Here is a 13,452-nt window from a genome sequence, read left to right as displayed (position 1 = left end):
CCCAGAGCTCAAAAAGGTAAAGTCAAAGAAAGACTTTCGTTACTTGGGTAGTAACACATTTTTGGTCTCTAGAACAAAACTGTTTCCTGAAGCTTACTTCTATGGAAACCTGCAAAGCATCTGCCCCAGGTGCTAGCAGAAATTGCATTGGCAGTTTTTAATTGTGTCTGTGGAGAGTGTTTCGAAGGCAAACATATTTTAAATAGTTCTTAATGCCTGTGGGTGTAGCAAGAAATGAATGTGTTTTTTCAAGCTATTCATTACCTGCCCTTAATGACAGACACATTTCAGGGAATTCCTTTAAATTTTTATTTACTAAAGGGAGCTTTGTTAACTCTTTTATTCTGAGAAATGAATGAACATATAATCAAGCTGTGTATTCCTTTGAGATATCCTTTTCTGTGTGTGTGCCTATGGCTAGCCTCCAGTCCCCTTATCATGACAATCCTAGAACATTCTTCACACTTTAGTTTCCCTCTCCTTCAATCTGAGACACAATATAAAGTAACAGTAAGTGCACAGATGTTTGCACTTAGGTTCACTCATTTAAATTTCAGCTCTTCTAATTTCTAGATAAGTGAATTGAGGAACACTACTGAACTTTTGTATTTTTGCACAATGTTTTTCTTTCAGTGACGTCTCCTCACTAACCACAAAATACAATTCCAATTGTTCTTTCAGTTACTGAGTTCCACCACCACATAACCTGTCCTTTACTATGTAATCTTACCCCTGCACCAAACTAATAATAATCCTCCCTTCTATTGTTTATACCTACCTACACATGCTTTTGTTTATGCAACTTTTCTTACCTGCTGTGTGGGGTTTTTTCTTATTTATAGGTCATCTCTTTATTTTTTTCATGAAAATGCCAATCTGCATAAATCTCAAGTATCCAGTGATTTCACAGAGCCCCTTCTTGTACTATTACTTATAATGCTACTTAGTCTGTTACCACTTTATATAACACTTAACTATTATGCATTGTTGAATTTAAGTTGGTATTATTTCAGCAGAACTGTAATGGTTCTCAAGTGACCACAGAAAATATGAGAAGTTGGATAAGAAATCTCCTTTACATTTCCTTTACATCTCTCAGGACACAGCAGCATTTTCTCTGAAGATGAAATGAAGAATGAGCTCTGCCAAGTATGTTATTCAATTTGTTTAATGTGGCTGACATTACTGCCGTTCCACTGCTACCTAGTTTCTGTGTCTGCCTGGACATACGGTAGGATTGTACTATCCCAACCTACTGACGTGAACTGTGGTGATATGACATGCTTTGACCAATAAAATGTGAACAAAATTTGCATGTGTAACTTTCGGATAGAAACATTAGTTTGTTGGGGCTCTACCTCTTCTCTCTTCCTCTGCCATTGTAACCATGGAAGCATGTGTTGATATAGATATTCAATGCCACACTTGTTTATGGAGGACAAGTGCATGGACAGTTGCCCAGAATCAAAATGGGCTTGTCATGAGAAGGAAATAAACTTTGGGCTTTAAGCCATGGATATTTGTCAGGGGAATTGTTTGTTATTGTAGCATAGCCTAGCCTATCCTGACTGACATATAAATATATCTGAACAGATAAAAATGGCATCTAAATCTACTTTATCCATCAATCCTTGAATGCCTTTCTGGATAATGAATTGATTGCATTTCTTAGTTTATCTTTAGTCACTAATTCATTCAGTAAAGATGTTTACATTTAAGGTTTACTATATGCATGGAACTGGACAAGTTGTTGAGGATAAAAATAATAAACTGAATAGCTGTGGTCCCTAATCTAATTGACATTCTTGTGTAAAAGACCCCCACCCACCAAAAGAAGAGAATGACAGAAAACAAAAATAATTCAACAAACAAAACAGTATGTAAAAGCAACAAGCAAGAGTCTAACAGAGAATACCAGAGAACTTATTTAGATATGGTGGTCAAAAATTCTTGTGATGGGGTGAAATTTAATCTGGGCTCTAGAGGCTGAGCAGCAAGGAGTGCTATAAGAACTGAGGGTGGCCGGGCACAGTAGCTCATGCCTGTAATCCCAGCACTTTGGGAGGCCGAGGTGGGCGGATCATGAGGTCAGGAGATCGAGAGCCATCCTGGCTAACACGGTGAAACTCCGTCTCTACTAAAAATACAAAAAAAATTAGCCAGGCATGGTGGCGGTCACCTGTAGTCCCAGCTACTTGGGAGGCTGAGGCAGGAGAATGGCATGAACCCTGGAGGCAGAGCTTGCAGTGAGCCAAGATTGTGCCACTGCACTCCAGCCTGGGCGACAGAACGAGACTCTGTCTCAGAAAAAAAAAAAAAAAGAACTGAGGGCAAGAGCACAGGAAAGCAGTGTGTGCAGGTGCTCTGAGACAGGAGAGAGCATTGCTGTTCAGAGAAACTCAAAGAATGTGGCTGTAATTAAGTACCATGTTTCCAGATTACTACAATTTTAATTGTATGTTCTCTAAACTCTAGAAGAGTCCCTGAATTTCCTAATGACATTGCTCTGTGGAAAGAACATTTAGTGTCATCCACCATGAAGACTTCTTTCAACTCAGTAACTTCATGGATTATGGGGAAAAATGTTTTTTTTAGAAAACTCAGAAAACAGGAAGAGACATAATATACAAAGGCTGTTTACACATATATTTATAGAAAGCCTAAGCTGCAAGAAAGAAGAGAGCAACATTATTCCACAGAGAAAATAAGTGGTTAAGTTGTGTAGCTTGACATTTATGGCTGTGGAGTTAGTTTTGCCCACATGATGGTGAACTCACTCCAATATAAATAAATCGAAAAGAGTGCAATCTTAAATCACAGCTGCCATTAAAAAAAAACAGAATTTTTTAAAACAAATCTCAAAACAAGTTGTTTTAAATTCTTCTTTAATATTCTCAGCAAATAGTTGATCTCATCAATGATTCAAGAGTAAAAATTGATGAATTTCCTGTTTTATTGAAATGATGATCCTGGTTGAATAACGTAATTAATTAACTTCATACTGACATTGAACATATGAAAATAACACTGTGGCTTTTCTGATAGTAGCCAAGATGGCTTGTAAATTTTTATAGCCTTTAAAACATTTTAGCTTTTTCTTTACTCTATCTGCTTCTAGAATTAAGATTTGTCAGCAGCCAATTTTTCACTTGATGATTTATTTTATACAGAAAAGAAGAACCTTTGAAAAGAATGTAAAAAAATGTTTTGGGTTGCTCTTTGTCAGCTTGATATTGTCTTTCTATTTATTTTTTGTTCGTCACCATTGCAATCTTCTTCCACCAGCCTTCTAGATTACCACAAAATCGCATGAATGATGTTTCTTAAACTCAAAACAAACATATAATAGCAAAGTCACACAAATGAATCATATTTGTATTCATTCTTTCCATATATATGGCATATTTAATCCAGCTATTGGTGGTTATTATGCCCATGTTCAATTAAATTGCAGACTGTATTTTAATTTCATATTTTTGTGGATATGATGGAAAACAAAAATCCAAAAGATTTTGAATGGCTAGACAAATATATAAAATTTAAAAACATTCTGTGTTCTAAGTGTATGAATGTATAATTTTGAAAGATCCCATTTATTGATAAAAGTAGAGAAAAAATCCAAAAGATTTTGAATGGCTAGACAAATATATAAAATTTAAAATCATTCTAAGTGTATGAATGTGTAATTTTGAAAGATTTATTGATAAAAGTAGGGGGAAAAAGGGTGTATTTAGTCCTACCTGATCATTTTCTTTTCAAAACTACTGATGTTTCCCAAATCATGGCTGTCTTTATTCTACTGAATGTCCCAACTATGTCTTGGGTAAATGGCCTAGCAATGGCTAAGGGAACAGCACAAAGCCTTTCAAAAACCAGTTGTTATGAATGAGTGACAAAGGAAAGCAAAGTGTTCAAATCCAATCCCATAAAGGTGCTTACATGCCCTGAATTTTTGAGATGAGGCCGACCAGTATATTTCCTCAACTCAGCTTCCCTGCCCGCTACTTTGTTTGTAGACAAGAGTTTTCAGGGTATCTTGCCTGCGGTTTTACTCACTTGACTTTGGAGTTAAAACTCTGTGAGGCCAAGTGAGCATCTAGATTAGCATGACAGTGGTCTCTATGTCAGTGGTCACCACTTTCATACAGTACAATTGAGAGAATTCATATTATAGTATTACAGTATTATTATTTGACAGTGGAAGATAATTCACAATCACTCTGTGAAACAAAGTTGGAAGATATTTAAATAGAGCAAGTTGTGAGAGGGTGTAGTTGGGTCCTATCTTTTTAAAATCATTAAAAAATCTCTGCCTTTTACTTAGATTGTTAGTCCATTAACCTTTAAAGTAGTTATTCTTTATTGATATGTTTGATTTCCTTCTACCATTTTATGTGTTTTCCATTATCACCTTTCTTTGGTTGTTGCTGTTGTTTCTTTGTTGTTGGATTTCTCTAGCCCGCTTTCTAAGATTATTTACATATATTTTAAATTCCACTTAAACTTTATATTGGCTTTTTAGTCATGACAATTAGGTTATTGCTACAGAGATTATAATGTACTTGTCAACTTTCAATACCTTATGTAAAGTTAATATTATATCAGTTCATGTAAAATATAGAAATGCTGCAATTCTTTTTATTCTATATGAAAGAAACCTCAAAAGACAACGTTATGATTGTGCCTTTAATTCATGTTGTGGTTTTTTTTTAAAAGAAAAGAAAACAGAATTTTGCATTTACCCACATATTTACTACTTCCAATTTTATTCTGAGGATTCAAGTTTCGATCTCAAGTCATTTTCCTGCAGCCTTCAGAAGTTCCTTTGGGGCCTTTAATAGATCTGCTGGCAACACATTATCTTTATATTTTTTTTCATCTGAAATGTCTCTGTTTCACCTTGATTCGTGAAGATTATTTTCATTGGATATAGAATTGTGGGATAACATTGTTTTATTTCAGCATTTTAATCATGTTCACCATCTTCGGGGCCTCATAGCTTCTGATGGAAGCCAGTCATTAGTTAGATCATTGTTCCCCCTTATGCAATGTTTTGGGTTTTTTGTTTGTTGTTTTGGCTGCTCTTAAGGTTTGCTCTTTAATTTTGGCTTTTGGTAATTTTGCTACATTTTGCTTAATCATAAACTACTTTTCTTTTTTTCTTTTCTTTTTTTTTTTTTTTTTTTGAGACAGAGTCTCCTCTTTCGCCCAGGCCGCAGTGCAGTGGCGCTATCTCGGCTCACTGCAAGCTCCGCCTTCCGCGTTCAAGCCATTCTCTTGCCTCAGCCTCCCGAGTAGCTGGGACTACAGGCGCCCGCCACTGCGCCTGGCTAATTTTTTATATTTTTAGTAGAGATGGGGTTTCACCGTGTTAGCCAGGATAGTCTTGATCTCCTGACCTCGTGATCCGCCCACCTTGGCCTCCCAAAGTGCTGGGATTACAGGCGTGAGCCACCGCGTCTGGCCAATCATAAACTTCTTAATGTGTATTTTCCTTGATATTTATCTGGCATCATTTATTTGTACATTTCTTTTTACATCAACTTTGAAAAACGTTAAACTATTTAAATTATTTAAACTATTTAAAATTAATTAAATTATTCAAATATTTGTTCTGCTCCACTCATCTTTCTTTCCTTCTTTTATTTCAGTCACAGCCCTGTTGGAACATTTATTTGCATTAACTAACAGTTCTCAGATTCAGGTTCATGTTTTCAGTCTTTTTTCCTTTGTTCTGCATCTGGGATAATATCTTTTATTATATCTTCTTCAAATGTGCTTACTATTTCCTTTGTCATCTGCATTTGGCTATTAAGTTCTTCCAGTGATTTTTTTAAAAATCTCAGATAACATTTTTATTTATCTCTTGAGATTTTCTGTCTTTTCTTTCACTGTGTGCACATTATATTATACTTCTTTTGGGATTGTTATAAAAGCTGTTTAAAATTCTTGTCTGCTCTTGTCAGTATCTGGTTCAGGGTTGAACCTTGCTGATTTTCTTTTCTCTTGAGAATGTTTATATAATTTTTTTGCTTCATTTTGGTTTATATTCTAGACATTACAAATATTAAGTGGAGGACATTCTGGATAATGTTATTGTTCTAGAAATATAGTTTCTTTTATTTTTGCTGGAAATTATGATGGCTGAACTTGAACTGTTAACACTATTTCATGGGCCACTGCTCTGCTCTATATTCTGATATTTTGTCTTCAGCTGAACTTCATTGCATCTATTTCCAAGCCCATTATTCCCACATTTAGACATTCTGGGTACAGTTGACCCTTGAACAAGATGAGTTTGAACTGCAAGTGTCCACTTATTTGCCATTTCTTCTTTAATAAATATGTTTGATCCTCTCTATCTGTGGTTTCATAGCCCTGAATGCAACCAAAAGTGCACTGAAAATACAGTATCATGAGATGTAAAAGGGATGGATGAAGAGGGCTGATTTTTGTATCTGTGTTTGGGCCAACTGCAGGACTGGAGCATGCATGCATAGATTTTGGTATCTGTGCTGGAGCAGGTACTGGAACTAATCCTCTGCAGATACCAAGGGACAACTGTATTAGATTATTTTTAAAGAAATAAGACAATGCAGGTGTAAGTAAAGACCTCTGAATAACATTCCTCAAATTCTTTTCTAACACCTTCTAAATTTGGTCTGTTTTTATTGTTATTATACACATCAGAATACACATAATCAATATCATATCATATCATATATCATACAATAATCAAATATCTGGGCACCCTGTGGTCCAGTCAAGCTGATACATAAAATTAATCATTACACTAAAAGTGCTAGAATAAATATTCTTTTATAGGTATTAGTTATTAACTAGTGATACACTTAAAACTAGAATTGCCATGTGAAAGCATATGTCCATCTTTAGCTTCACTAAATATTGCCAAATTGCTATCTAAAATAAATCAGCTTGCACTCTCATTAGCAACAGATGAGAGTTTGAGAGTTCTTTCTTTCCTTCTTTTTTCCTTCCTTCCTTCCTTCCTGTTTTGTTTTGTTTTCTTTTGTTTTTTCTTTTGAGACAGGGTCTCACTCTGTTGCCCAAGCTGGAGTGCAGTGGTGCAATCACAGCTCACTACAGCCTCAAACTCCTGGGCTCAAGCAATCCCCTAGCCTCAGCCTCCCAAATATTTGGCACTATACGTGTGAGCCACCACACCCAACTAATTAAAAAAAAAAAATTGGGGGTAGAGAGAGAGTCTATGTTGGCCAGGTTGGTCTTGAACTCCTGGCCTCAAGCAATCTTCCTGTTTCAGCTTCCCAGAATGCTGCGATTACAAGCATGGGCCATTGTGCCCAGCAGCGTTCTTTCTACTCATTCAACAATCTTCTAGTCTTGGCAGTCTTTTTAATTTTCATGGTTATGATGGATGATGAGGGTAGGAGGACTACAGCTTTATTCTGGAGTGCTATGCTGCTGTTTTCCTAATCATTTGATTGGAGGAAGCAGGCTTTTGTGGGCTTTTTGTTGCTGTTGTTCTGTACCTACTGGGCATTTCTAGCTTAAAGGATTTTCCATTACCCAGTCCAGGATACATGAGATTAAAAAAGAAAACCTTAGGAACACACCACCATAAGTTTCATCATTTTCTGACATTATTAGCCAGCCTCTCTTCTCTCTACATTTCTGAGTCATCTTATATTTGATTTATGTATAATATACAGAGTTTTGGTTGTATTCAGTAGTAGGAATAGAGAGACATTCATCTACTCCATCTTGTTTCCTTTTGTATGAAATTCACAATTAGTTTATGTCTTGTGGAAAAACTAAATTGTGATTTTGACTGAAATCACATTGAATTTAATTATCAACTTGAAGTGTTCTACTTTTATATTCCCAAAATGCTTTATAATTTGCTTTATACAGTTTTTGCATATATTTTACTAGATACATTCCTTTATATTTTTACTATTTTTCTAATATAATCTCATTTCTATTATTATTTTTAATTGGTTACTGTGGGTATGTAGGAATATTGATAATTTTTTACCTGAATCACAGAACTTGCAATCTTGTGGACCTTTCTTAATAATGTTAATAGTTTATGTGTAAATTATCTTGGGGTTGATATGTAAGTTATATAATCTGTAAATAAGCACTGTTTTGTCTCTGACTTTTCAATTTCTCTGTTCTTCTTTCTATCTCTTATTGTATTTTCTAGCATACTCAGTACTATATTGATTTTAGGACATCTTTTTCTTATCCCTGATTTAAAAGAACACTAATGTTTTATTATTGTGTAAGGAGAGTCTTTCATTAATCACAGTTTGCCATTCTTCCTCTTAGTCTGAATACACAGCATGTATTTCACAAATGTAGAAACATTAGAACTGTTTTAAGAGAAAAGATGTAATTAACATGATCTAGTCAATGTAAGGGAGATCGCCTACATGCACATGCCTTATAAAATCAGTACATTACCTAACAGAATGGTAAACAAAATAAAATAAAATAATTAATTGTAACTGTGGCCTCTTTTTCTCTTGAGGCAAGTCATCACTTAATTTCTACATTTAATGGCTAGAATTATTACAGATAAACAAGGTGTCAGTAGCTGAGATGATAGTAAATCCATATTAATCATTTTTTGTACCCTTAGTTACATAGATGATATATTTTTATTTTGAATATTCATTTGCACATCTTAAATAGGCAAAAATCATTTTCATGTTGCAAGAGAGGAAAATTTTTCTGTCTATAGTTTTTAATAGGCTGAAGTATAAATATGTTTTAATTTAACTCAACACAGGTGTCAGCTGGGGTCTTCTTGACTTTAAGATCATTCAAGAACATTCTAAACACACAAATTTAATGCTTGAGAATTTCACACTTTTTTGCTAATATCTGGTGCTAAAGCATGGTTCATTTCCTTCATCCCTACTTGATATTATATTCTACTACCATGTCACAATTACCACAAACTTTAGCCATTATGCCTGATTAGACAAGAGGCTTCATTACATCAAGAATTTTATAAATTAGTTTGTAGGCTCAGATCACTACAAATTCCACACTGAAGTCACCTGACTTGCAGACCAAACATTATTTCTCATTATTTTTTTCTTTCCCTCTGGTGCAGAGTTGAATTATCTACACCAAGTCCCTACATATCCTGCCTTATATTTTGAAATCATCTGTAAAAATAACAAAATTGTTTCTATTTTCTCATATAAAATATATCACTTTTTAACCAACAAATGAATATTTTTTCCTGAAATAAAAGATGATGTTTAGAAACTTCTTACATATACATCTTTCATCATTTCTCTAAAACACATTCAGTGTTGTGATAATCTCATAGTCACATTTTTACAGTTGTTCAGTACTACTAGAATAAAAACTTTAAAAAATTCTATAAAACTTTATTATATCTCAGAGAATGACTCATACTATAATCATACTATAAATCATATTTTCAGAGCATTAACTTAGAGAAGAGCTAGACAGGAAATTGATAATGTATGCAGCTTGATGCCTTTTCATATATTGATTTACATGTCATTTGTCTGCAATTATTGTTTAAATACAATTCACTCTTTGCTAATAGGAGACAATTATCACCATTACACATAGTTCAGATTTTCACAAAATGGTTTAAACCAAAGCCCAAATTTACTACTATTTTCTCTTGGAATGCTAAAGAGCATTTTAGCACAAATGGAACACAACATTTACTTGAGCATTGTAGTCATTTGTGTTGAGCTCTGCATTTCATTTGAGATCTTCTTCCTAATATTTATCAACATAAGATTGGGTATGCCTTGCCTATGACAAGAAGGGAATGCTGATGGCCTAAAGACCATCACTTAGGTAGTTTCTGGCCATTACACTGTTTGTACATGGGATCACTATAACAATCATAATATAAGTGTGATTTCCTACATTGCAAATCAAACATTTCACCTGCTTAGTTTAAAATAGATTAAAGAAGAATCCTGAAGCAAACCAAAGATCCTTTCCTCCATGATTATTGCTCTAAATGAGCTCATGTGGGACGGAGATTCTCCTTCATTCTGCTTCATTCTCTATCTCCAAACTGGAGGCAATAATCAGATGCAATTATTAGAAGCCCTGACTTCATCATTCCTTCCCAAGGGTGAAATGGCCTAGAGTCAGTGCTTTCAATTATGCTGGGTGGCCCAGGAATGGACAAGCTGATTCATAGATGGCTGTGCTTGGTTCTGCCCCAAAGGCCCCAGAGGAAATGCCTGGAGGAGAAGCTGAATCTCCCTATCAGTTGGTTCTCTCCTCTGTCACCAGCCACAGGATTAAATAAAAAGTTGAGTCTAGAAGACAGACTTTTTTCTCTCTTTTACATTTATGATCCATTTTAAATCACTCTGACGTTAATATGAAAATTCCATAGGCACACTTGCATGTCCTCATTAAAGGATAAAAATTAAAGATGAAGTGACAGTTATCACTAAACCAACTACAGAGGAAATGCCCATAGAACTAACATACTCAGTCCAGATTTCAAGCAGTTTGGGCCGACAAATTAAAAATGCAAGTTCCTTTTAGGAAACCCATATCAAAAGAATGCTTAATCACATACAATATATCCCATTCTGTTTTGATCAACTGAAATCATTCTTCCTATTTTGGGCTTCTCAAACCATTTGCTGTAGAATTCTTCTCTTTGACAATCTTGTGAGAGAGTCAATACATAAAAGAGTACACTGAAACAAATTTCAGTTCCTCTGCCTGTCACTGAGTGAAAAGTAGACCCCTATCCATCCCCTGCCCCTGTGCCAATTCCTCTCATTGCACACACACACACGTGCCCATGCACACACACACATACATTTCTCCAAGATGGAAGCTGACTTTTAAAACAACTCTCTATAATTTTGGACATAGTGAAAAATCTAGAACTATATAAAACCCACAGCTAAAGGCCTGTCTCTTTTCTTTATTTTCAAAGACATCGATTCTTTCCACATAAAGAAAGGAGGCAGAAAATAAAAAATACTTTCAGTCCACAGTATGATAGGTCTCAAATCTTTTTTGAAACCAACCATAAACCATAAACAATACTGGCAAAAAGCAAGATACAAATGTCTATTTTCAAGTGAATATTTGCATGATTTCTTAAGACACTCCATGCTTAGATTTCTGGTTTTGATACAAGAAAAAGGCTGCCCGAAAGCCTATTTTCTGCAGAGAAAGTTTTAATGGTAGAGAACAGAAAGAGGGTGTTTAGAAAGAGAAATAAGAAATTTATAATGCCTGACTTGTAAAGAAAAAGAAAAGGTAATGAGAGTCCTAGATTCTACTGTAGAGATGTGATTTACTGTCTATAGCTAGAATTTTAAGAGAAAATAGTGAAGGAAAGATTTTCTCCCATATTTTATCACTGCTACAGCCCTCCCTTAAATTTTTTCTTGGTGAAGGTATCCATCCACCACAGCACGGGGTGCAGCAGATGTGTAACATTTAATGTGTTTAATAAAATGACACAGTGTTCTGCTTTAACTGTGCATTTGCCATCCTTGTAAAGTAATGAAAAGCTACCTTTCCTGAGAAAGAATGACACCTGCAAAATTGATCTAGGCAGACTAAAAAAAAAAGAAAGGAAGTTAGAAAGTAATCACAAATCTAGAAAATGTCCAAAGAGGGTAAGGTGCAGGAAGCAGTGTGTAATTTTTTTGCTTTGGGATAAAGTACAGAACCTAGATTTTCAATTTTAAAGAAAACCAACACACTAAAAAGTGTCATTTTTCTTTTTTTGCTTTTTCAAAAATGAAGAAATTTCAAAATTATTAACAAGTAGCATTTAAAATAAAGATTTATCAATAATAGTTGAAAACACCTGCTAAAGGTAAGAGAATAGGAAAAATGTAAATCATTGTAAAGGCCACTCTGAAATCTAGTTCAAACATGAGCTCAGCCAAGGCCAAGCACAGGATGCTGCTGAGAGAACTGAGAAGCTAAATATTTTATGCATATGAAGTAGTTTAAGAACTTTCCAAGACAATGTGACTATTACAGCACCAATGATAACAGGAGCTCTGATAAAAAAAAAAAAAATCAAAGGAATAACAGATATCTGAGAAGGCTTCATGGAGAAGGACTACCCTAAACTAACTAACCTGATGATAATATAAATGGAATTTCAATCATCGAGAGAGGGAAGAATACATTCTAGATGGGGGAATAGCCCAATAGGAAGTAATTAATATTACATATTTCAGGCCCAAATTTTGCCAGAATAGATAATAATAGACAAGGCTTCCTTTCACTTGTGAGGAGAGATTAAATTGAGTAAGTATAAATAATTACATAATATTAAATATTAGAGAGAGTAGTTAAAACATTTTATGTGTTGTATTAATCTGTTCTCACACTGATATAAAGGACTACCTGCGACTGATTACTTTACGAAGTTTTAATTATGAGGTTTAATTGACTCATAGCTCTGCAGGGTTAACGGGATGCATAACTCGGGGGGCCTCAGGAAACTTACAATCATGGTGGAAGGTGAAGGGGAAGCAAGCACCTTCTTCACATGCTGGCAGGAAAGAGACTGAAGGGGGAAGTAGTGCCACACACTTTTAAACCATCCAGATCTCATGAGAACTCACTCACTATCACAAGAACAGCAAGAGGGAAATCCACCCCCATGATCCAGTCACCTCCCAGCAGGCCCCTCATGTAATTTGACATGAGCTTTGGGTGGGGACACAAATCCAAACTATATCATTCCCTGCTGGCCCCTCCTAAATCTCATGTCCTTCTCACATTGCAAAATACAATTATTCTTTTCAACAGTCCCCTAGTCTTCACTCATTACAACATTAACTCAAAAGCCCACAGTTCAAAGTCTCATCTGAGACAAGGTAAGTTCCTTTTGCCTATGAGCCTGTAAAATAAAAAACAAGTTAGGTACTTCCAAGGTACAATGGGGGTACAGGCATTGGGTAAATGCTACAATTCCAAATGAGAGAAATAGGCCAAAACCCAAGGGTTACAGGCCCCATGCAACTCAACTCAGAAACCCAGTAGGTCAGTCATTAACTCTTAAAGCTCCAAATAAATCTCCTGTGACTCCATGTCTCATATGCAGGGCATGTTGATGCAAGGGATGGGCTTCCACAGCTTTGGGCAGCTCTGCCTCTGTGGCTTGGCAGGGTATAACCCCTGTGGCTGCTTTCACAAGCTGGTGTTGTGTGCCTGTGGCTTTTCCAGATGCATAGCGCAAGCTTTAGGTGGCTCTACCATTCTGGGGTCTGGAGGACAGTGCAGTGACCCTCTTCTCACATCTCCACTATGCAGTGTCCCAGTGGGGGTTGTGTGTGGGGGCTTCAACCCCACATTTCCCCTCTGCCCTCCCTTAGTAGAGGTTCTCCATGAGGGCTCCACCCCTGCAGCAGACTTTCACCTGGACATCCAGCCATTTTCATACATTCTCTGAAATCCAAGTGC

Source organism: Homo sapiens, chromosome 5 (genome assembly GCF_000001405.40).
Source record: "Homo sapiens chromosome 5, GRCh38.p14 Primary Assembly".
Classification (NCBI taxonomy): domain Eukaryota; kingdom Metazoa; phylum Chordata; class Mammalia; order Primates; family Hominidae; genus Homo; species Homo sapiens.
This window is presented reverse-complemented; position numbering follows the sequence as displayed.